The sequence below is a fragment of the Homo sapiens genome, chromosome 13, assembly GCF_000001405.40.
Source record: "Homo sapiens chromosome 13, GRCh38.p14 Primary Assembly".
Taxonomy (NCBI): domain Eukaryota; kingdom Metazoa; phylum Chordata; class Mammalia; order Primates; family Hominidae; genus Homo; species Homo sapiens.
The window spans coordinates 52,561,096-52,584,861 of NC_000013.11; the positions used below are offsets into that span (position 1 = coordinate 52,561,096).

Here is a 23,766-nt window from a genome sequence, read left to right on the forward strand (position 1 = left end):
ATGGCTCACTGCAGCTTCAACCTCCCTGGGCTCAGGGAATCCCTCCCACATCAGCCTCCCGAGTAGCTAGGACTGCAGGCAGGTGCCACCATGCCCAGCTAATTTTTTTATTTTTTTGTAGAAACGGGGTTTTGCCATGTTGCCCAGATTGGTCTCAAACTCCTGGGCTCAAGTGATCTGCCAGCCTCAGCCTCTGCCTCCTAAAATGCTAGGATTACAGGCCTGAGCCATTGTGCCCAGCCTAAACTCACTTATTAGTTCTACTAAATTATCTATAGATTCTTTTGGATTTTATAGTACACAGTTATATCATGTGAAAATAATACATTGTATTTTTTCCTTTTCAGTCATTTTCCCCCCTAGCACTGGCTAGAACCTTCAGTACAGTGTTGAATTAGAAGTGGCAACAGCAGCCATCAGTGTACACTTCTATTCTCAAAGGAAAAGCTTTCAGTGTCTCTCCAATTGCTTTACGAGCATGTGTGTGTGTGTGTGTGTGTGTGTGTGTGTGTGTGAGCTACCATTTATCAGATGAAGAAATTCCTTAGCCAGGCGCCATGGCTTTCGCCTGTAATCCCAGCACTTTGCGGGGCCCAGTGGGGCACATCATTTCAGACCAGCCTGGGCAACATGATGAAACCCCATCTCTACTAAAAAATAAAAAATTAACCAGGTGTGGTGGTGCATGCCTGTAATACCATCTACTCTAGAGGCTGAGGCACGAGAATTGCTTGAACTCAGGATGCAGAGATTGCAGTGAGCCAATATCACACCACTGCTCTCCAGCCTAGGTGACAGAGCGAGACATTGGCTCAACAAAAAAAAAAAGAAAGAAAAAGAAAAGAAAAAACAATGTCTTTAGTTTGCTGAGAGAGTTTTTTTTTTAATCATGAATGGATGTTGAATTTTTCCAGATTTTTCTGAATCTTTGAGATGATAATTTTTCCCCTTTATCTTATAAATAAATGTGGCTAATTACATGATTGATTAAGTGGTAAACCAACATATTTCTGGAATAAATGTGATTGAGTTGTGCTATACTATTTTATTAAATAATTATTAAACTTTTTTTTATTAAATTCCTGGGTTCTATTTGTTAATATTTGTTTAGGATTTTCAAATTCATGTCACCAGTGTGATTGGTTGTAATTTTCCTTTCTCATAGTTTTTTCAAATCTTGGCTTCATAAAATGAGTTAGATTTTATTTTCTCTTTTTTTATTCCCTCGATGAATTTATGCGTGCTGTTTTTTTTTTTCTTTTTAAGTGTACGGTGAAATTCACCAGTGAAGCTACATTTGTCTAGAGTTTTCTCTGGGGAGAAGTTTTTAAATTATCGCTCAGTTTCGTATATAGAATTCTCTCTAATTTTATTTCCTTAGCCTGTTTTGGTAGGTTATTGTTTTCCCAGCATTTGTCCATTTAATCTAAGTTTGCGAATGTCTTGGCATCAAATTATTCACAATATCATTTTACCATTTTAATGTCTACAGGGGCATTCCCTTTTTATTCCTTACATTATTTTCTTGGTGCCTTCTCCCTTTGTTTCTTTTGATTAGTCTCACCAGGGAATTATCAATTTTACTAGTCTTTTAAAAGTAACAAATGTGGCTGAGCGCGGTGGCTCATGCCTGTAATCCCAGCACTTTGGGAGGCCAAGGCGGGCGGATCACGAGGTCAGGACATCTAGACCATCCTGGCTAACACGGTGAAACCCCGTCTCTACTAAAAACACAAAAAATTAGCCGGGTGCGGTGGCGGGCGCCTGTAGTCCCAGCTACTCGGGAGGCTGAGGCAGGAGAATGGCATGAACCCGGGAGGCAGAGCTTGCAGTGAGCTGAGATCGCGTCACTGCATTCCAGCCTGGGTTACAGAGCGAGAGTCCATCTCAAAAATAAATAAATAAATAAATAAATAAAATAACAAATTTTTGGCCTTACTAATGGACTCTATTATTTACTTTTTATTTCATGAATTAGTATTATATTTAGTATTTTCTTTTGTATTCCATGGGTTAATTTGTTCTTTTCCTGACTTCTTGAGATGAATAATTCTTAGAGTGTCGACCACTCTGTTTTCTGTTTAGCATTTAAGGCTATACATTTTCTTCTAAGAGTTGCTTTAGCTTCGTCCCACAAGTTTTCATATGTAATATTTTCATTTTATTGGGTTCAAATTATTTTCCAATTTTCACTGTGCTTGGTGTTTTTTTTTTTTTTTGACCCGTGAGTTGTATAGAAGTATACTTCCTTATTTCCAAACATAGGAGACTTTTGCATTTATCTTTAAGTTTTTTATTTGTGAAGCCAGGCGCAGTGGTTCACGCCTGTAATCCCAGCAATTTGGCAGGCCGAGGAGGTGGTTTACCTGAGGTCAGGAGTTCGAGACCAGCCTGACCAACATGGAGAAACCTCGTCTCTACTAAAAGTACAAAAATTAGCCAGGTGTGGTGGCACATGCCTGTAATCACAGCTACTTGGGAGGCTGAGGCAGGAGAATCGCTTGAACCCGGGAGGCGGAGGTTGTAGTGAGCCAAGAACACACCATTGTACTCCAGCCTGGGCAACAAGAGCGAAACTCCATCTGAAAAAAAAAAAAAAGTTTTTTATTTCTGGTTGTATTGTGCTGTGGACACAGAACATACTATTTTTTTTTTCTTCCAAATTTGTGTAGACTTGGTTTATGGCCTAGAATTTGGTTGATATTGTTAAATGTTTTCTGTACACTTGAAAAAAACACGTATTATGCATTGTTGAGAACAATGTTCTATGTACGTGCATTTGTTAATTTATTTAACTCTTCTATATTCTTACTGACTTGTGTTTTGGTTTGATTGAATTTTGATAATTTTTTCCTTCTCACTCTCTCCCATTGCCTTGGAAGTTATATACTCCTTTTCTATTTTTTTAGTAATTACTGTAAAGATTTCAACCTGAATCCTTGATTTAGCTATTAATTTTTGTTTATGTTGAGCCTGCATCTAGAGATCTTCCTAAACTCTCTCAACTCTCTCGTTAGATTAATGAGTTATTCTATAGATTTACTGACTACACGGACTTACTACACTGGCTAGGCTCTGCAGTACATTGTTAAATGGAAGCAGTGAACAGAGGGCATTTTTGCTTAATTCCAGGCTTTAAAGAAAATGCTATCAATATTACATCATTAATATGATGTTCCTGGTAGGTGTTTTGGTAGATTCCCTTTGTTGAGTTAAAGAAGTGTCCTAGTTTTTATTAATTTTTAAAGTCACAGTTGTAGGTTGAATTTTAGTTAATGCTTTCTCTGCATTAATTGACATAATTGCAAGGTATGTCTACTTTAATCTGTGAATATGATAAATTACATTAATATAGATTTCTGATATAGGATGATTCTTTTTTGTTTGTTTGTTTGAGACGGAGTCTCGCCCTGTCGCCCAGGCTGGAGTGCAGTGGCGTGATCTCGGCTCACTGCAAGCTCCGCCTCCCGGGTTCACGCCATTCTCCTGCCTCAGCCTCCCGAGTAGCTGGGACTACAGGCGCCCGCCACCACGCCCGGCTAATTTTTTTGTATTTTTAGTAGAGACGGGGTTTCACCGTGTTAGCCAGGATAGTCTAGATGTCCTGACCTCGTGATCCGCCTGCCTCGGCCTCCCAAAGTTCTGGGATTACAGGCAAGAGCCACCGCGCCCGGCCTAGGATGATTCTTGTATTTTTATTTGTTTTTTTAATGGGCAAAGAAATTTTTTTTTTTTGAGCTTAGTTTTTTGGTATAATTTCCACTTTGATTTTAGATTTGGAAGTACATGTGCAGGTTTATTACCTGGGTATATTGTGTGATACCGAGGTGTGGGGTATGATTGATCCCATCACCCAGGTACTGAGCATAGGACCCAATAGTTTTTCAACCTGTGTCCCCTTCTGCTGTGCACCCTCTAGAATTCCAGTGTCCATTATTGCCACCTTGATATCCATGAGCATCTATTGTTTAGCTTTCACTTATAAGTGAGAACATATGGTATTTGGTTTTCTGTTCCTGCATTAATTTGCTTAGGATAATGACTTCCAGCTGCATCCATGATGCTGCAAAGGACATGATTTTATTTTTTTATGAATGTGTAGTATTCCATGGTGTATATGTACCACATATTCTTAAGCCAGTCCACCACTGATGGGCACCTAGGTTGATTCTGTGTCTTTCCTGTTGTCAGTAGTGCTGAGAAGAGCATGCCGGGGCCTGTGTCTTTTTGTTAGAACAACTTACTTTCTTTTGGATGCATACGCAGTAATAGGATTGCAATGTCAAATGGTAGTTCTAAGTTTTTGAGAAATCTCCAAACTGCTTTCCAGGTAGCTGAACTAATTTACATTCCCATTAGCAGTGTATACGTGTATACTCTGCAGCCTTGTCAGCATCTGTTGTTTTTTGACTCTTTAATAATAGCCATTCCGACTGGTATGAGATATAATCATGTTGTGGTTTTGATTTGCATTTCTCGGATGATTAGTGATGTGGAGCATTTTTCATGTTTGTTGGCCACTGGTATGTCTTCTTTTAAGAAGTGTATGTTTATATCTTTTGCCCATTTTTAATGGGGTTATTTGCTTTTTTTGCTTAATTGTTGAGTTTCTTATAGATTCTGAATATTAAACCTTTGTGAGATGCATAGTTTGCAAATATTTTCACCCATTCTATAGGTTGTCTGTTTACTCTGTTGATAGGTTCTTTGCTGTGCAGAAGCTCTACAGTTTAATTAGGTCCCACTTGTCAGTTTTTTGTGGCAATTGCTTTTGAAAACTTAGTCATAAATTCTTCCCCAAGGTCAGCGTCCAGAATGCTGTTTTCTAGGTTTTCTCCTAGTATTCTTATAGTTTGAGGTCTTTCTATCTTTAGTTAATTTTTGTATATGGTGAAAGGTATAGGTCCAGATCATTCTTTTGCATATTGCTAGCTCAATATCCTAGCACCATTTATTGAATAGGAAGTCATTTCCTTATTGCTTATTTTTGTTGACTTTGTCAAAGATCAGATGGCTTTCTGTGTTTGGCTTTATTTCTGAGTTCTTTATTCTCTTCCTTTGATCAATTTTTTTTTCCTGCCAGTACCATGCTCTTTTGGTTTCTATAGCCTTATGGCGTAGTGTGAAGTTGGGTAATGTGATGCTTCTGGCTTTGTTCTTTTTGCTTAGGATTGCTTTGGCTATTCCGGCTCTTTTTTGGTTCCATGTGAATTAGATTTTTCTAGTTCTGTGAAAAATGATGTTAGTAGCTTGATTGGAAAAATGTTGATTCTGTATATTGCTTTTGGTAGCATGGCCATTTTAATGATATTGATTCTTCCAGTCCATTAGCATGGAATGTTTTTCCATTTGTTTGTGTCATCTATGATTTCTTTCAGCAGTGGTTTGCAGTTCTCCTTGTAGAGATCATTCACCTCCTCGATTAGCTGTATTCCTAAGTATTTTATTTTTTGTGTGGCTACTGTAAAGGGGGTTATGTCCTTGATTTGGCTGTCAGCTTGGACATTATTGGTGTACAGAAATGCTACTGATTTTTGTACATTGATTCTGTATCCTAAAACTTTACTGAAGTAATGTATCAGTTCCAAGTGCCTTTTGGTGGAGTCTTTTGGATTTTGAAGATATAGAATCATATCGTTGATGAAGAGAGATAGTTTGACTTTTTATTTTCCTATTTGGATGCCATTTTTTTCTTTCTTTTGCCTGATTGCTATGGCAAAGACTTTTACTACTATGTGAAATAGGAGTGGTGAGATTAGGCATCCTTGTCTTGTCCCAGTTGACAAGGAGAAGCGTCCAGCTTTTGCCTGTTACAATGTTGGCTGTGGGTTCATAATAGAAGGCTCTGTTTTGAAGTGTATTCCTTTAATGCCTAGTTTCTTGAGTGTTTATTGTCAAGAAGGATGTTGAATTTTATCAAAAGTTTTTTTTTGCATCTATTGAGATGATCATATGGTTTCTGTGTGGTGAATCACATTTATTGATTTGCATATGCAGAACCTTGCATCCTTGGAATGAAGCCTACTTGACCATGGTGAATTAACTTTTTGATGTGCTGTTGGATTCAGTTTGCTGGTATTTTGTTAAGGATTTGTGTGCCTATCTTCATCATTGAGATTAGCCTTTAGTTTTCTTTTTTTTTTTTTAATTGTGTGTTTGCCAGGCTTTGGTTTCAGGGTGATGCTGGCTTCATAGAATGAATTAGGGAAGAATCCCTCCTGGAGTTTTTGGAATAGTTTCAGTAGAACTGGTACCAGTTCTTCTTTGTATATTTGATATAATTCATCTGTGAATACATCTGATTTAGGACTTTTTTGGTTGGCGGGTTTTAACTTATGGATTCAATTTTGGAGCTTGATACTGGTCTGGTGAGGGTTTCAATTTCTTTCTGATTCAATCTTGGGAAGTTCTGTGTTGCCAGGAATGTATTCATTTCCTCTACATTATCTAGTGTGTGTGCATAGAGGTGTTCATAATAGTCTCTGAGGACCTTTTGTATTTCTGTGGGATTGGTTGTGATGTCGTCTTTGTGATTTCTGATTGTGCTTATCCGGATCTTCTTTCTTTTTCTTTGTTAATCTAGCTAGCAGTCTATCAATTTTGTTTATGTTTTCAAAGAAATGACTTGGTTTCTTTGAATCTCTGTTTTAATTTTGGGGTCTCAATTTTGTTTAGTTTTGCTCTGATTTTAGTTATTGTTTTTCTTCTGCTAGGTTTGGGGTTCTTGTTTTTCTGATTTCTCTCGGTGTAATGTTACATTATTAATTTGAGATTTTACTAGCTTTTTGAGGTACACATTTAGCACCATAAACTTTCCTATTAACACTGCTTTTGCTGCATCCCAGAGATTCTGGTATGTTGTGTTTCTGTTTTCATTTATTTCAAAGAATTTTTTGATATCTACCTTAATTTTATCATTTGCTTAAAAGTCATTCAGGAGCAAGTTGTTTCATTTCCATGAAATTGTTTGGTTTTTAGAGATCTTCTTGATATTGATTTATATTTTTATTCAACTGTGGTCCAAAAAAAATGGTTGGTATGATTTCAACATTTTTTGAATTTATTGAGGCTTGCTTCATGGTGGAACATATGGTTGATCTTGGAATACATTCGCTGTGCAAATGAGAAGAATGTATATTCTGTGGTTGATGCATGGAGTGTTCTTTAGGTGCCTATTACATCCAGTTGGTCAAGTGTTGAATTTATGTCCGTAATTCCTCTGTTAGTGTTCTATCTGAATGATCTGTCTAATGCTGTCAGTGGGGTGTTAAAGTCTCCTGACTATTATTATGTGGCTGAGTCTTTTCATAGGTCTAGAAGTACCTGTTTTATTAACCTGGGTGATCCAATGTTGGGTGCATATATATTTAGGATTGTTAAGGCTTCTTGTTGAATTGAACCCCTTATCATTATGTAATGCCCTTCTTTGTCCTTTTTTACTATTGCTGGTTTAAAGCCTGTTTTATCTGTTTTAGGAATAGTGATCCCTGCTCTTTTTGGTGTTTTGTTTGTGTGAGAGATCTTTCTCCAACCCTTTACGTTGAACCTGTTGGTGTTGTTACATGTGAGATGGTGTCTTGAAGACAGCAGACAGATGGGTTTTGTTTTTTTATCCAACTTGCCACTCTGTGACTTTTACGTGGTGTGTTTAGACTATTTACATTCAAGGTTAATATTGACGTGAGCTTTTCACCCTATCATGACATTGTTAGGTGGTTGCTTTATACTTTCTGTTGTATTGTTGTTTTATAGGCTCTGTGAGCTGTGTACTTAAGTGTGCTTTTATGGTAGCAGGTATCATTCTTTTATTTCCATGTTTAGAACTCCCTTAGGGATCTCTTGTAAGACTGGTCTAGTTTTAATGAATTCTCATGGCACTTGCTTCTCTGGAAAAAAAGATCTTTATTTGTCCTTCGCTCATGAAGCTTAGTTTGGCAGGATGCTCTTGATTAGAATTTATTTTCTTTAAGAATTCTGAAAATACACCTTCCCAATCTCTCCTGATTTTTAAGGTTTCTGCTGAGACGTCTGCTGTTATCCTGATAGGGCTCCTTTTGTATGTGATCTGGCCTTAGGATTTTTTCTTTAACGTTGACCTTGGACTGTTTGGTATATGCCTTGGTAATGTCCACTTTTTTATAGTATCTCGCAGGTGTTCTCTGGCTTTATTGTATCTAGATGTCTACCTTTCTAGCAAGATTCAGGAAATTTTCTTGAATGATTGCATCAAATATGTTTTCCAGGTTGTTTTCTTTTTTTCCTTGTCTCTAGGGAATGCCAGTAATTTGTAGGTTTGGTCACTTCACATAACCTATTTCTCAAAGACGTTCCTCACTTTTTAAAAATAGTTTTTCTTTATTTTTGTCTGACTGCATTAGTTCAAAAGACCAGTCTTCAGGCTCTGAAATTATGTCCTCTACTTGGTCCAGTTTATTGATAAATCTTTCCATTGTATTTTGAAATTCCTTAAGTGAGTTTTTTAATTCCGGAAGTTCTGATTGATTTCTTTTTAAGATGTTTATCTCTTCCTTCATTTGCTGAATTGATTTAGAAGTTTCCTTTTGTTGATTTCAACCTTGAATCTCATTGAGCTTCCCTGGAATCCATGCTTTGAATTCTTTATTGTCATTTCTGAGTTTTCATTTTGGTAGAAAGCATTGCCAGAGAGCTAGTGTGATCCTTTGGTGGTATCACTACATGCAGGTTTTTCATGGTGCCAGAATTCTTGTACTGGTTCTTCTCATCTGGAGATGCTAGCACTTCTAATTTTTGTAATTGTTTTTATGTGGGTAGGATTTTTTCTTTATCTTTTCTTTCCTATATCATTATTATTATTATTATTATTATTATTATTATTATTATTATTATTCTTTCCCTTTCCCTCCTCCTTAGGTGATGTGACTTTAGAGCAATGCTAGGTAGGTCTTTTGGCCTTGCTTCTATATGCACTTCTATCAGCAGGTTTTATATTGGGTATGTGGTTTGACCTACAAGCCAGTAGATGGCGGCGATGGGTAAGAGCTGGCTGTGGCCAGTGGTGCTGGCTATATACTTGCTGTTTGTTTATTGGGAAGAGCTCTCTGTTGCCTTAGGCAATGAGCTGATTCCTGGAGTACACATTAATCTGAGCTCCCTCCTAAACCCTAGGGGAACGGGAGTTAGGTGGGGGTGTGGGAGGAAGATGGGTGGAGCCAGATGGGGAAGGTTCCCCAGTGTTGTCCTGCTCTCAGTCCAGGTTTGGGAAAATGCCTGCAGCTTTTCCTTGTGTCCTTTCCTCACAAAGTCTCCAAGTCTCTCGTTAAATTAGCTCCAGGACTTGGGAGAAACAGTGCCCCTCCTCGGTCCGGGTTGCTTGGATCCCCAGTGGAAAGGTAAGACAGAGGGATGCTGTCTGCCTCTCTCACATACTGAGGCTTCACTCGCTTTTATCAGTCGAATGTTGTCACAAGAGCTGTTTGCCTGCGTTGTCCTCCCAAGGATCTGGGGTGTCCTTCATAATTCCAGGGAGTTGTCGTTTTCTTTCTTGAATTAAAGTTCACAGAGTTGATCTTTATGTACTATCTTGCTATTTCCAAATGGCTGAGGCATGCTAAAAGCCTGTAATCTGCCGTCTTGGAAAAAAATCCTTGCATTCTTAAGAGAAATGGCACTTGGTATTGATACGTGGTATTTCTACACTGCTGAATTCACTTTGAAAAAATATATATATTTTTATATCTACATTTATATGTCAGACTGGTATAAAGTAATCGTCTACTGTATTTATGCAGTTTTGGAACCAGCTATTTTAGTGTTACTAAATGAGTTGGGAATTTTTCTTTCTTACTGTTACCCAAAGGAATTTATATAAGACATGAATTATTGCTTTCGAATAGATTTAGTAAAAACCTCATCTTGTTCTTTCGTGGAGAGGTAGTTGAGAAATATTTTTACCGTAAATGTAATTTATTTTCCACCTGTGGGGCAGAGGTTGCAGTGAGCTGAGATCGTGCCAGTGCACTGCAGCCTGGGTGACACAGCGAGACTGTCCCAAAAAAAAAGAAAGAAAATCAACTTAAAATGAACTCCTGGAATATTTCTGAGTGTATTTTTATACCAAGCATGTTCCTTGAACTAATTTTTCTTTTCTTTTCTAGGAAGAACCGGAACTATGGTTTGTGCCTGCCTGATTGCCAGTGAAATATTTTTAACTGCAGAGGTATGAAAGATGTTACTACAAACTTTGTCTTAGGATGACTGAGTTTGCTAGTTCTGAAACATCACTGGTAGGATGTTAAGATGATTATTTTAGTCATGGTGCTTAGTGAAATTGTAATTGGAGAAGCGGTTGTTAAAAAGTCTGTTTTTGATACTTCCTTGTTTAACATGCACTGGTTAGTAGCTGGCTTAAGAATCTCTTTGGGCCAGGACTAGAGTGAGGTCAATGAGGCGCAGAATTTAAGAGAATGCTAAAAATTGCAATAATTAAAATAAATGATTTTTCATGCAATATTTAAAAAATAAAAATTAATGCAAAAAAACCATGAGGTATACAATATTAACATTTTAAATAATGACAAGACCTGATGGGGCAGGATTAAGGTGAGGGGAGTAAAGCCATGTTACACAGATACAAAAAACATTCAGTAATCGCAATGGTTCCCTCACCTCACCTGGCCCTGCTGTTCTTCCTTCCTCATGAGAATAGTATCAAGCTTAATTAGATAAATTCTCCAAAGGGCCTTGGCCATCCTCACACCTCTTAGGTAGATAAAAGGCAACATTTCACAACTCAAAGCCTCTCCTGCATGTAAATACCTCTGCTTAGTCAACACATGTGGAGTCTGTGGCCTCTAGAAATTTCTGATAAGACAAGGTGGGATGTTTCCACCTACAGCAGTGTTCTCAGTCATTTTTCTTTGCCATTTTCTTGCTGAGATGCTACCATTTCCAGCAGCTCCGCTTGAGTTGTTTGGCCTACAGTCTAGGGAAGAAGTGGTGGTTCTGCACAATGCCCAGCACTCTAATTCCACCACCTTTGGTTTTTCTAATTTGAGACACACAGATTTTGAAAATGGATGTTCTAGGATGGTGTTTTTCAAGCTATGGATCATGATGTATCAGTGAGTTGTAAAATAAAGTTACTGGGTTGTGACTAACATCTCTTAAAAATAAAATGGAATCGGCCAGGTGCGGTGGCTGATGCCTGTAATCCCAGCACTTCAGGAGGCTGAGGCGGATGGATCACCTGAGGTCAGGAGTTTGAGACCAGCCTGACCAACATGGAGAAACCCTGTCTCTACTAAAAATACAAAATTAGCTGGGCATTGTGGTGCATGCCTGTAATCCCAGCTACTTGAGAGGCTGAGGCAGAAGAATCGCTTGAACCCAGGAGGTGGAGGTTGTGGTGAGCTGAGACCGGGCCATAGCACTCCAGCCTGGGCAGTAAGAGTGAAACTCCGTCTCAAAAAAAAAAAACAAAAAAAAACTAAAGCTAAAACTAAATAAAATGGAATAGAGCAGAATAGAAAATCTGAAAAGGTTTAAGTATTGGTGTGTGTGTGTGTGTACTTCTCCGAGGTTTATTAATGTGGATTGCAACTTAAAAAATGAAAAGTTTGAAAGCCACTGATACAGAGCCCTAGACTGAAAACCAGAGACTTGTATTTCAGGCCTGTGCTGCTTCTAACTGGCTGCAGCATCTCCATGGCAGATTGTGTAGTTTTCTTTTGGTCTCAGTCTTCTCATTTGTAAGATGGAAAGAAGGGTTGGACCAGATGATTTCTAAGGTCTTTCCAGCTCTAAACTTTTATGTCTTTACGAAACCTTGAATGAGAGAAGTCTTTGATGTGACTTTGTTAATTTTGGTAATTTGGGTAGCCTTTGCCAAAAGACCACTGCGGCTAGGCGCGGTGGCTCATGCTTGTAATCTCAGCACTTTGGGAGGCTAAGGCAGGCGGATCTCTTGAGTCAGGAGTTCGAGACCAGCCTGGCCAACATGGCAAAGCCCCCATCTCTACTAAAAATACAAAAAATTAGCCAGGTGTGGTGGTACACGCCTGTAGTCTCAGCTACTCAGGATGCTGAGGCAAGATAATCGCTTGAACTCGCGAGGCAGAGGTTGCAGTGAGGTGAGATTCTGCCACTGCACTCCAGTGTGCGTGACAGAGCGAGACTCCATAAAAAAAAAAAAAATCACTGACTTTAGGAAAGAAGGTGGTTTTAGAAAGACTAAGGTACCTAATATAGAAAAGGAAAGAGTGCAGATGAACCATGGTTCCTTTTTTGTAGGAAAGATTGTACTATTTTGGAGAACGGCGAACAGATAAAACCAATGGCACTAAATATCAGGGAGTAGAAACTCCTTCTCAGGTAAGTTTTCGTTTTAAGAAAGGGAGCTTTTGTAGGGGAGTGGGTTAAGATTGCCATCTGTTATTTGGTTTCATTTTAGACTCTTCTCCTTTGGTGATCAGTCAGCAGCATTAGGGCACCCTGCGACAGGCCTTGGTCCCTCCCTGATGCTAAGGGTCATGCTTCAGGTGCCACCCACACGTTGGGGGGTCTGGCTTCTCCTCAGAGCATCCTGCTTTCTATTCTATACTGGTTATTGTTTACGGAGCTCAGGAGTTGATTATTTTCCCAAAGCAGGAAAGTCCAATACCTAAGGCTCCAGGACCCTGAAGTTTATCTAAAATCACCAGCCTTTGATTTCAATGTAAAAAAGATCTAAGTCTTTCACAGATCCTTATTAGGGCAATTCAACCCTTGCAGAACATCACAAAGACTGTTTTTGGGTGACTCCCGTGTGTGTGTGTGTGTGTGTGTGTGTGTGTGTGTGTGTGTGTGTGGTGGGGGAGGTGTATTTTAAAAGAGAAAGAAAAGGGGAAATAAACTTTTCAAAAACCCTTTTATATACCAGACAGTACTGCACTTTTACATATCTCATTGAAAACCCATAACACCTATATGAAACATATGCTGTTACTCTGTTTTTTCTTTTAAAAATAATTTCGTTATGGAAAACTTTAATCATATACAAAAGTCCAGAGAATCATACAATATATCTCCATGTAGTCATCACTTCGCTGCAACAATCATTTCAGCCTGCAACTGGCCACGTTTCATCCATACTTTTCCCACTCCACTCACACCCCCAACCCCACTCTCCACTCTTGCTTTCCCCAAACCTGGATTATTTGGAAGGAAATTTCAGTCATCAGATCATTTTATCCCACAAGTATTTTAGTATGACATCTAAGTACTCTTAAAACAACAACAAAAAACCCTTAATAACTTTTATCATATCTGAAATATTACACCTTAAAAATCCTTAATATCAAATTTCTAGTCCATGTTTGTTTCCAAAATTGTCTTAAAATCTTTGAAAATTTAGTTTGTTTCAGTCAGAATTCAAACAACATCCACACATTTCATTTGGTCGCTATGTCTCCTAAGTCTCTTTTAGTTCATAGATTTCTTGCCATTTTTTATTGCTTGTAATTTGTTTACTGCAGAAACCAGAATGTTTATCGTATAGCATTTACAACATTCTAGACTTTGCTGAACCATTCTAAGAGTTTTACATTCACTATCTCATTTAATATTCTCAGTAACTCTATGAGTAGGCACTACTATGATTCTCATCTTATAAATTAGAAAATTGAGGTTCAGAGAAATTAACTTTTGAACCAAGGACTGAAATCTAGATGTCAGACTCTGAAGCCCATGCTGTGCACAGCTTCTCATTTATATTGCCTTTTCTATATTGCCCCTCAAACCGAAGTGAGAGTGGGTTGGGAATTCTCAAATAGATTTGGATGTGGCTGTAAATGAGTTTTTCTTTAGGTGGTGGGAACTGAATAAGTACTCTTGGCCCTGTTATAAGAACACTAACTACTGTCCCCGTTTAGTTTGGGCAAAAGAACTCAGCCTTATCCACTGATACTTTTCTCCCACACCCAAGCCAAAAACAAAACCAGACAAAGAACAGTCATAGACCCTAAGCGAAAAGGAATGTGTGGATTTACTGAAGTGCAGCCCTACTCATGCCATTTCCATGCTCAAAATCCAGAGTATGTCCCCACTGCCAGTAGCAATAAACTAAATGTTTCAACCTGGCACTCAAGATCCACAGTTTGACTTTTCCAACCTTTTCTTCCACTATGTGCATGCACACATCCCACACTCTAACACATTTAGACTGTGTGCTGTTTCCCAGCCCATGGACACTTGATTCCCTCGTGCCATTTCTCATGCCCCTTTTCCTAGAGTCCCTTTCCCTTCCCAGCCTGAAGTAGTCTCTTGCTTTTTCAGTTCCTAAAGCCCTTTGTGTTTCTCTTAGGGATGATATCACTTTGCATTGTTCTCTAGCTATTTGAAGTGGTGACTTCTGTTTCCCCTTTAAAGGCAAGGCCCATGGCTTACCCATCTTTCCACCCTTTCCTCATAATATCTTCTTTGTTTGTAGTGAGTACCTCCTATGGGTTGGTTGTATGAATTTCTACTACCAGTCCATGTTGTTTTAAGTTGTAGTAGAAAGAAGCATGGGAGCAAAAGCAGCTTGAGGGCCCTGGCAGGTTACAGCCTTTAGGGGAAGGTGGAGAATCTGGTGGCAGGAGCCAAGGAGATGTTAGATAGAGCTCCTTCAGCAACTCACCCCACACGTCTCCCCATCCCCATCTCTTCTGTAGTCATGCATAGTTTCCCGAACTTTAGTCCAGAACTAGCACACCAAAGGCTGCAACTGAATCTCTTCTGATTGACTGAGAAGGCAACACAGGGTCTCAGCTGCACATTTGAGAGATGTGTTGGCAAGACCTCAGGACAGAGTGCCCTCTGTGTCTGGTGGTGATTCTCGGATACCATCACATTCTGATCCTGCATTGTGGGCCATTCTACTGACTACATCTACTCCTAAGTTAAGAACTTTCATGAGCCTTCCTCATGACTGGCCCTTTCTAAAGGAAAGTATGGCAGTTTGTTACTTCTATGAACATTTCTCAATGGGTAAGATAGAGTCCATGAACTTATGAGTACTTCTTCTTTTTTTTTTTTTTGGAGACAGAATCTGTCTGTCACCCAGACTGGAGTGCAGTGGTGCAGTCTCAGCTCACTGCAACCTCGACCTCCTGGGTTCAAGCAATTCTCCTGCCTCAGACTCCCAAGTAGCTGGGATTACAGGTGCCCACCACCACGCATGGCTAATTTTTGTAGCTTTAGTAGAGACGGGGTTTCACCCTGTTGGCCAGGCTGGTCTCGAACCCCTGACCTCAAGTGATCTGCCCACCTCGGCCTCCCAAAGTGCTGAGATTACAGGTGTGAGCCACCAGCGCAGCCAACTTTTGAGTTCTGAACCAGTTGATTCAGTACCAGAGCTCTTCAACTCCTTGAAGATAGATTCAAGGAGAGCCACTGTGAACAGCTTGCCCTAGGAAAAGGACAAGGCTAAGGGAATTCCGGGGCTTCCTTGTGAAAACAGAATTGGGGAAATGGAAAGTGAAGAAATCCTAGCTGTCAGGAACAAGAGAAGAATGACAGGAAACCTGCTACTGAGATATGGAGGTATTCCTCTTGAGTTTTCACATATGGCATTCTCTCATGCCCAGGAACCTGCTCTTCACTAAACCACACACCTTCCTCTAACTCAGTCACAACTAAGCTTCTATCTGCACACTGCTAATGCTGTAACTGTTTTGTTGTTGGTTCTGATTAGTTGCCCTCTCAACCATAAGCAGCCTGTCAACAAGACCTGGCTCCATCCTTGTCACTTCCCCATAGCACTTAATTCAGTATTTTTTCCCCAAGGTAGATAGTTGTGAGGCAGCATCCCTCAAAATATCTAGTAACATAATGGCATCCAGTAAATGTTTCCTTAATTATTTACTGCCCTTAACCTTTATGCAAAAAAAAAAAAAAAAAAAAGGGAAAACTGAAAATAGGAATGCTGACTTCAGGCTTTTCATCTCCACTTAAAGTAAGGCTTCTGTTGCTTTTCAGAATAGATATGTTGGATATTTTGCACAAGTGAAACATAGCTACAACTGGAATCTCCCTCCAAGAAAAACACTGTTTATAAAAAGATTAGTTATTTATTCGATTCATGGTAAGTGTTTATGTAAAATTGAAGAATTGGGCAGGAGGGCCAAGGTTCCCACTCTGGGAGGGTTTTGCTCATTGTTATATACACAGATGATCCTAACTTATACCTGTCTTTTTACGTATCCTCATGCATAAACTCCTCCTTAGGTATGCCCCTCCTCCTGGAATTGCCCATTGATTGCCAGCCCTTAGATGTTCTTCACTTTTTCTTTTCCATCACCAATTTGGAGGACTTCATCCCCTTCCCATCTCTCCTGTTCTCTTTGCTCTTCTGGTCACAACCCAAGGTGGACTTTTCAGGGCAGAGTGAGCCTCTGATGAGGGAGGAGGAGGTCCCATGTGCCTTCAAGACTGGTTATTTCTCAAACCACCTCTAGTTGAGAGTTTGTCTTGGTGGAGGTGTCTCCATATCATATCATTTTCTTACCTTCTTTCAGAGGCATATTTTTTTCTCATCCCCCTGGGCTCTCTCTTTCCCCTCTGTCCTCCATCTGTAACCCTCTCACTCCCAGCCACTCCCATACCTTGTGGCTCTCACTCCCAGCCACAGTGCTGGGGGTCAAGAAGAGCCTCCTAGGAGGAGCGCTTAGGTCTTCCCTGCCTGAATCTACATGAAAATGGAAAGGGTTGCGAGAGAGTGGGGCTCTATGGAGGTATCTTTCACCCACCTAGCTGTTACCGAGTATTAGCAGTTGTAAAAATCCATATAAACATCATGAGAGCTATTTGCCTGCTTCCAGAATGTAAGCAGAGAGATAAAGCTGGGATGCACTGTTGCCCAGGGACGCAGGCAAATTGGTCAGTCGTACACCTTCGGGACTTGAGAAAGAAAGTGCAGAGAGAAACTGGCCTCCATTTCCATGTCCATTTCTCCATCACCAACCTTGCTTCCCCTGCACAGCTTAACACTCAGTAGAGGTGGGAAAGCAGGATGTGTCTGTGTAGAGGGGATGGGGTCTCACCACTCCCACTGCCAGAGAGGTAGCAGGGAGGTGATGCATCTGAACCCCTAAAGGAAACCTCTTATAACAGCCAGCGTGTGGACCTGAGGTGGTGCCACTGCTGGGTGTTATAGGTGCCATGGTGCCGGGGTGCTTGTGTCCACACAGAGAGCCTAGTATTTTTAGCCTCCTGAGTTTCGTTCTGCATTTCACTGATTTCTGGTGGACATCAATAGAAAGAAGTTCTGCACCTGGAATGGGAAAGAGGGAACTGAGGCAAGAAACTGATTTCTAATGACCAATGAATATCATGGTGTTAGTGAAAACAAAATTAAATGAAAAGAAAACAAACGGCATATGAGATGATCAATCAAGAATAATTAATACACTTGTTTATTAGAATATTTGTTTTAATTCTCTACTTTTAGTTTTGTGCCATTTTAAATTAAAAATAATGTAGAGTTGAGATGAAAGCAATAAAAAATTAATTGGAGCCTGAGAAACAAAGCCTTTGAGGAAATGCTAAGGAAGCGGGTCATTTGAATTGAAAAAAAAAAAGGGCAAAAGAGCCTTTGTCTGTAAATATATATTGAATACCTTGGGAATTTTTGGATATAACCTATATTTTTATAGAGATTGCATCAGGAACTAGACTTAAAGTAGGGCCAAAGTAATTTAGACCACAGTATTTCTTATTAAGAATCATTATGATTAGAAGTCTGAAGGAAGCAACACATTAGCAAGAAAGGTGTCAAGTCACCTTCCCTAAATATAGATATATCTATATTTATTCCCTAAATATATATATATATATTCCCTAAATATAGATATATATATTTATTCACTTTGGAGACAGAGTCTTGCTCTAAGTCTCACTCTGGTCCAGGCTGGAGTGCAGTGGTGCGATCTCGACTCACTTCAACCTCCACCTCCCAGGTTCAAGCGATTCTCCTGCCTCAGCCTCCCAAGTAGCTGGGACTACAGGCATGCACCACCACACCGGGCTAATTTTTGTGTATTTTTAGTAGAAACGGGGTTTCACCATGTTGATCAAGCTGGTCTTGAACTCCAGACCTCAAAAGATCCACCTGCCTAGCCTCCCAAAGTGTTAGGATTACAGACGTGAGCCACCGTGCCCAGCCATTTTTTTTCCCTTTTTAATCCATAATGTTAATTGGCAAGACATTTTGATCTTCACACTAACCAACCTAACTTTTTAATTTCATTTAGGTGTTGGAACAGGCGATGGATATGATCTAAAAGTCCAAATAGTAATGAAGAAAAAGATTGTCTTTTCCTGCACTTCCTTAAACAGTTGTCGGGTAAGAGAAAACATGTGAATAGAAAAAAATCTGATGTTTGTTTTAAGGCTGAATGTCAAACCAGCAATGTTGACTTCCCTAAACTATCACTTACCATAAAGAGATTCCACGATGCTTTCTGGTTACCATCGTGGTGTCACTGGATTTGAATGCAAACCAGAGATAAATTAACCTGTTTGTTCAAAACAGTTTTTTCAGGGTACTTTCCAGAATTTATTTCTGTTCAGTGTTGCTTTGCCTTTCACTTTTCCACAAATGCTGAGCATGTTCCCAGGAATGTATTAAGGATTTTAATTTACATGTCTGGTCATTTTTAGCCATATTCTCCTCTTCTCGGTCATTTTATCTTTTATTATATAGCACTGATTCTAAAATGTTAGTGTGCATGAAAACCACTGAGAAGCTTGTAAAGATTTACATTCCTAGGTTGTACTCTAAAGTATGATTCAGGAAATCTGGAATGGGGGCAGGAATCTATAGACTTAGCAGTGTCCCAAGTGATTCTTCTAAGTCAGAGGTTCTGTGGGATGACCCTGTGAGAAACAATGCACGAGTGAATGAATTGGGGAGGAATCTCTTTATCCAAAGCAAAAGGGACCTGGTAGTCAATGTTTTGCTACAATGAAGAAATGCCTAAAACTATATACCTTTTCTGAAACAATGAGAAAGCTTCCTTCATGGGTCTAATAACCATAAACTTTTAGAATTCCTACCCAGGTCTTTGTCTCAAATTCTTTTATTACTAATCCTATTCCCTGGCTCTCTGCACTGCACCCACTTTTTTTGGCCTCTCCCAACTGAGGGCATTCACCCAGGCCTGATCCTTGGCTTTCTGTTCTTAGCAAATGCTTTATTCTTGGTTAAAGAATCACCCATTTCCCTTACTTAAACTATTATTTGTTCATTTACTGACGAGGTATTTCTAGTCGCCCACTGAGTTGTAGATGCAAGAGCTGCAACATGAACAGTTTCCACTCGAACTGAAACGCAGTAGCCAGTCTGAATTATCAAGGAGCTTTCTCTGCTTCTGCAAATGGTAGCAGCATTCTCCCACTCAGGCCTTGGGCTTTGATTCTCTTTGCCTTGGCTCCCTAAATCCAGTTAGGCATCAATCCCTGTTGATGATGCCTTTGAAATGTTTCTGTGCTCGCCTTCCTTTCTGTTCTCACTGCCACTAACTGTCCAGAACCTCATTTGCTCATGCCTAGATTTCTACAATCCTCTCCTTACCTTTTCTTGATTCTTATATAATGCAATGTATAGAATCCTGAAATATGCGTACTGAAATATTGCTCTCATTGTGAAAAGTTGTAGGTAGAGCAGAAGACACACTGCATGCCCATGGTCGAAGCCAGTTAACATCTTTGGCTTAACATCCTTACCTGTAAAATAAATATCACACCTCAAGTGTTATGGGAATTAAATTAGATAATATATATATGAAGTTGCTTTGTAAACTATAAATCACTAACTAAATGTTATATGTGATAATTATCAGGCCTCTTTGTCACATAGGAAATATCCCACGATATTCTTCAAAAGCCTCACTCTTATTTCCTTGGCTCTTGAACTCTTAAGATATAATAGCCCTAACATACCTGAGCTTATTTTTATCAGTAGCTCGACCAGCAGACTCCATTCCAAATAAACTGGGTCATCCCCTTTGGCTCTTGGAACACAACTCTAAGTTATTTAGTTAGTTAGTTGGTTATTTCTTTCTTTTCTTCCTTCCTTCCTTTCCTTTTTTTTTCCTTGAGTCAGGGTCCCATTCTGTCCCAGGCTGTAGCACAGCGGCGCGATCATGGCTCACTGCAGCCTCAACTTCCTGAGCTCAAGCAGTCCCCCAATATTTTTTTTATTTTTTGTAGATATTGGGTCTTGCTATGTTGCCCAGGCTGGTCTCAAACTCCTGAGCTCAAGCAACCCTTCCACCTCAGCCTCACAAAGTGCTGGGATTATAGACATGAGCCACACTGCCTGACCTTTTTTGTTGTTTTTCTCATTTCTACTTTGCGTTATTGCTGGTCTTTTTCCCTCTGTATGGACTAGATTCTATTTTCAGAGCTTTCATGCCCAATTCAGTTTCTACCTCCTCAATGAAATTTTCTGCACCTCCTGTTAACTAGCCTTCAATGGTGCATAAGAGCACACCCAGTCTTCATCATACAGATTGAGAATTATATTCCATTCTACAATTGTTTCTTTTTTTCTTTTTTCTTTTTTTTTTTTTTGAGACGGAGTCTCGCTCTGTCGCCCAGGCTGAAGTGCAGTGGTGCCATCTTGGCTCACTGCAACCTCCACCTCCCGGGTTCACGCCAGTCTCCTGCCTCAGCCTCCAGAGTAGCTGGGACTACAGGCGCCCGCCACAATGCCCGGCTAATTTTTTATATTTTTTTAGTAGAGACGGGCTTTCACCGTGTTAGCCAGGATGGTCTCGATCTCCTGACCTTGTGATCTGCCCACCTTGCCCTCCCAAAGTGCTGGGATTACAGGCATGAGCCACCAGGCCCGGCCTCTGCGATTGTTTCTTATGTGTATAGCTCCCTGAAGGGACCAACTGAGTCTGCACCTCCTTTTGTGTTTTTCACAGGGCCTAGCATAGATCCTTCTTACTGTGGGTGCCATTATTTATACGAGAGTGAGTCAAAGAAATAGTATATCTTCAAAGTCATTCATTCCAAAACTTGAACTATCTTTGGTCACTCCATCTGCAGCCGGTAATGGTCAAGTCCAAAGATCCCACTGACAAACACAAGAGTTCTGATAAAACACGATGATCGGGGGACCCCACCCTCCCCTCTCTTGGGAGGGGCAGGTGGGCCCACCCCCCAAGTGTTACAGACCCCTGTTGTTATTTTTTAAATTTAGTAAATAAAAGACCGTGAGTTAAGCATTGTTTTTAGAATGTCAAGGCTAGCTTTAAAATTGAGCTTCTCAGCATGTTCTCAAAAGAGGCCCTAATGTATGAAAATCAAATGACACACATTAAATAACAATATTTAACTGATTAAAGTGTCTAATAGAAAATTCAATAGTTTTGAAAAGGGAGACACTTTTGAAAAGTGCCTCATGATAACCCTCAAACATGTTGGCCTTTAAAAATCATAAACAACAGGGTGGGCATGGTGGCTCACCCCTGTAATCCCAGCACTTTGGGAGGCCCAGGTAGGCAGATCACTTGAGGCCTGGAGTTTGGGACCAGCCTGACCAATATAGCAAAACCCCATCTCTACTAAAAGTACAAAAACTAGTTGGGTGTGGTGGCATGCGCCTATAGTCCCAGCTACTCGGGAGGATGAGGCACAAGAATCACTTGAACCTGGGAGGCAGAGGTTGCAGTGAGCTGAGATCACACGACTGCACTCCAGCCTGGGTGACAGTGAGACTGTCTCAAAAAAAAAAAAAAAAAAAAAAAATATATATATATATATATATATATGTATATATATATACACGCACACATACACACATACAGACACACATACATATAAACAACAGTATTGCAACTAGAAAAGATTATTAATAATTATTTATACATGTAGTGATTGGTCTGTGAGACCAAAAGTACTTGATAAATATAGGAAGTCTTGATAAGTGAAAAGGAACTTCATTGTTATCATTAGCTAGGTTTATAGTTCTAAATTCCATGTTCATTCACAGGTATTTCATGACACTGAAACAGACAGGGTAATAATTGATGTGTTCAACTGTCCACCTCTGTATGATGATGTGAAAGTGCAAGCTTCCTCTTCGGTGAGTAATCAAGAAACGGCCTCTGCCACTGTTCTTATCTGAACTTTTGAATGGTTTTATTTAAGGTTTCCTTTACTACAGTTCCCAACAAGGGAGATGATAGATGTCATCCCATAGAGGGAGGGGGAGAAAATAAATCAGATCTATAACAATTTTTTTAAAAGAACATATGTAATTTGAATAATTTTTGTTCATTTGTTTTTTCTAAATTGTACATTTTCTAAATTTTTCTAAATTTTTCTAAATTTACATGTATTAATTCACAAATCCAAAAAATAGAAAATAAATACAAAAAAAATAAAAGCCAAGATGCTAAAAAACCAAAGGTATGTTTTACTGCATAGCAGTGATTACATTTTGTTTTGCATCATTTTTAATATTACAAATTGAGACAGGTTCTCACTCTGTCACCCCAGCTGGAGTGCAGTGGTGTGACCATAGCTAACTGCAGCTTCACCTCCTGGGCTCATGCAGTCCTCCCACCTCAGCCTCCTGAGTAGCTGGGAGCACTGACTTGAAAGAGAGTTAGGTTTGGGTGACTCAGTTGGGTGAAGCACAGAGAAGGCAGCACAATACAACACATGAAATAACCAAAGCAGTTTTTTATTAATTCCAGAGAGAAGAGGGCAGCACACCTCGCAGGGCTAACTGGAAGGGGGAGCCATCCAGGAGACCTGTGCTCAACTGATGGGTGGGGAGCAATAGCGAGAACGAGGGAGGGACCTGAGAGTGGAAGCCTTTATTGGGATGTAAGGTGTTACCTGAGCAGGTTTCCTACGGGGAGGTCTAACTGGTGGATTTAATGCAAGCAGTCATGAGTTCCATGGAGTCATGCTGTGACTGAGAGGTGGTCATTGATATATCCACATGGTCCATGCAGAGTATGGGGGTCTGTAGGGAGGTTATATCTAGCTGTCCCATAATGAAGTAGTCACCAACAGAAGGTTGTATAAGGCAGATACTGGGATCAGTCACATTGAGAAACCTGGAGGAGGTGAACTGGAAACTGTCAAGGGTGACTGAACCCTGCTTCTGATATCAGAAAGTCCAATTTATATTTGAAAGGGATGCTGAGGCACAAAAAAATTGTAAGAATTCACTACAAAAATACTTGGCTATATATAAGGATAGGTCCTTAGTAGATTCTGTTTAGCACTATCTAAACCAGATTCAAATTTCAGCATTTAAATTAAATATCTATCATGGAAAATAAACTATTCCTTGAAAATTTTGATAGAAATAGCAAGAGAAAGCAATAGCATTTTCTTAAGCCTCCTCCTCTGTGTCTTGAGTGTGTTGTTATAGAATGCAGAGTGCTACATATTGAATGGTTATAATTATTTGATAAATATATAAAGGAATAAAGGAAGGAACTTTGATTTCTTTGGAATGATTAGTTCTTGGCATCAATTTTACTTTTAAAATATTTTTTTTTTCTTTTTAGGATTTTCCTAAATACTATCACAACTACCCTTTTTTCTTCTGGTTTAACACATCTTTAATACAAAATAACAAGTATGTATATAATATCAACCCATAGAAACAACCTAATCTTCAATGTCTATGTATAAGATGTAATGGCAAGTCTTTTGCTGGTTGTCATAAGCTTAATTTATAGAAAACAAAAAATCCTCGAGCCACCATTGTTCATTGTCTTACTCCTTTTACTTTGG

At 39.5% G+C, this 23,766-nt stretch overlaps 1 long non-coding RNA gene and 1 pseudogene across 3 annotated transcripts in view, besides 2 other annotated features; one reads left to right on the forward strand and one right to left on the reverse strand.

Annotated features, from left to right (window-relative positions):
- The window catches only part of LINC00345 (long intergenic non-protein coding RNA 345), a 118,126-nt gene that overhangs the window by 78,614 nt on the left and 15,746 nt on the right, over window positions 1–23,766 (reverse strand). The window lies entirely within an intron of this gene.
- Window positions 1–23,766, forward strand: part of TPTE2P3 (TPTE2 pseudogene 3) — a 98,103-nt pseudogene that overhangs the window by 72,103 nt on the left and 2,234 nt on the right. Inside the window, exons 18-23 of the transcript NR_002793.2 lie at window positions 10,137–10,198; window positions 12,271–12,351; window positions 15,976–16,081; window positions 18,249–18,340; window positions 22,001–22,093; window positions 23,538–23,608. The product of NR_002793.2 is annotated as a TPTE2 pseudogene 3 (transcript). The remainder of the gene's footprint in view (window positions 1–10,136; window positions 10,199–12,270; window positions 12,352–15,975; window positions 16,082–18,248; window positions 18,341–22,000; window positions 22,094–23,537; window positions 23,609–23,766) is intronic.
- Window positions 8,799–9,093: an enhancer, noted in NCBI's record as "tiled region #15313; HepG2 Activating DNase unmatched - State 12:CtcfO, and K562 Activating non-DNase unmatched - State 13:Ctcf". NCBI's record gives its function as "activates a minimal TATA promoter and a strong SV40 promoter by Sharpr-MPRA in HepG2 and K562 cells {active_cell/tissue: HepG2 | K562}" and the evidence as "EXISTENCE:reporter gene assay evidence [ECO:0000049][PMID:27701403]".
- Window positions 9,023–9,082: a silencer, noted in NCBI's record as "silent region_5387". NCBI's record gives its function as "represses an Ori minimal core promoter by ATAC-STARR-seq in GM12878 lymphoblastoid cells {active_cell/tissue: GM12878}" and the evidence as "EXISTENCE:reporter gene assay evidence [ECO:0000049][PMID:35858748]".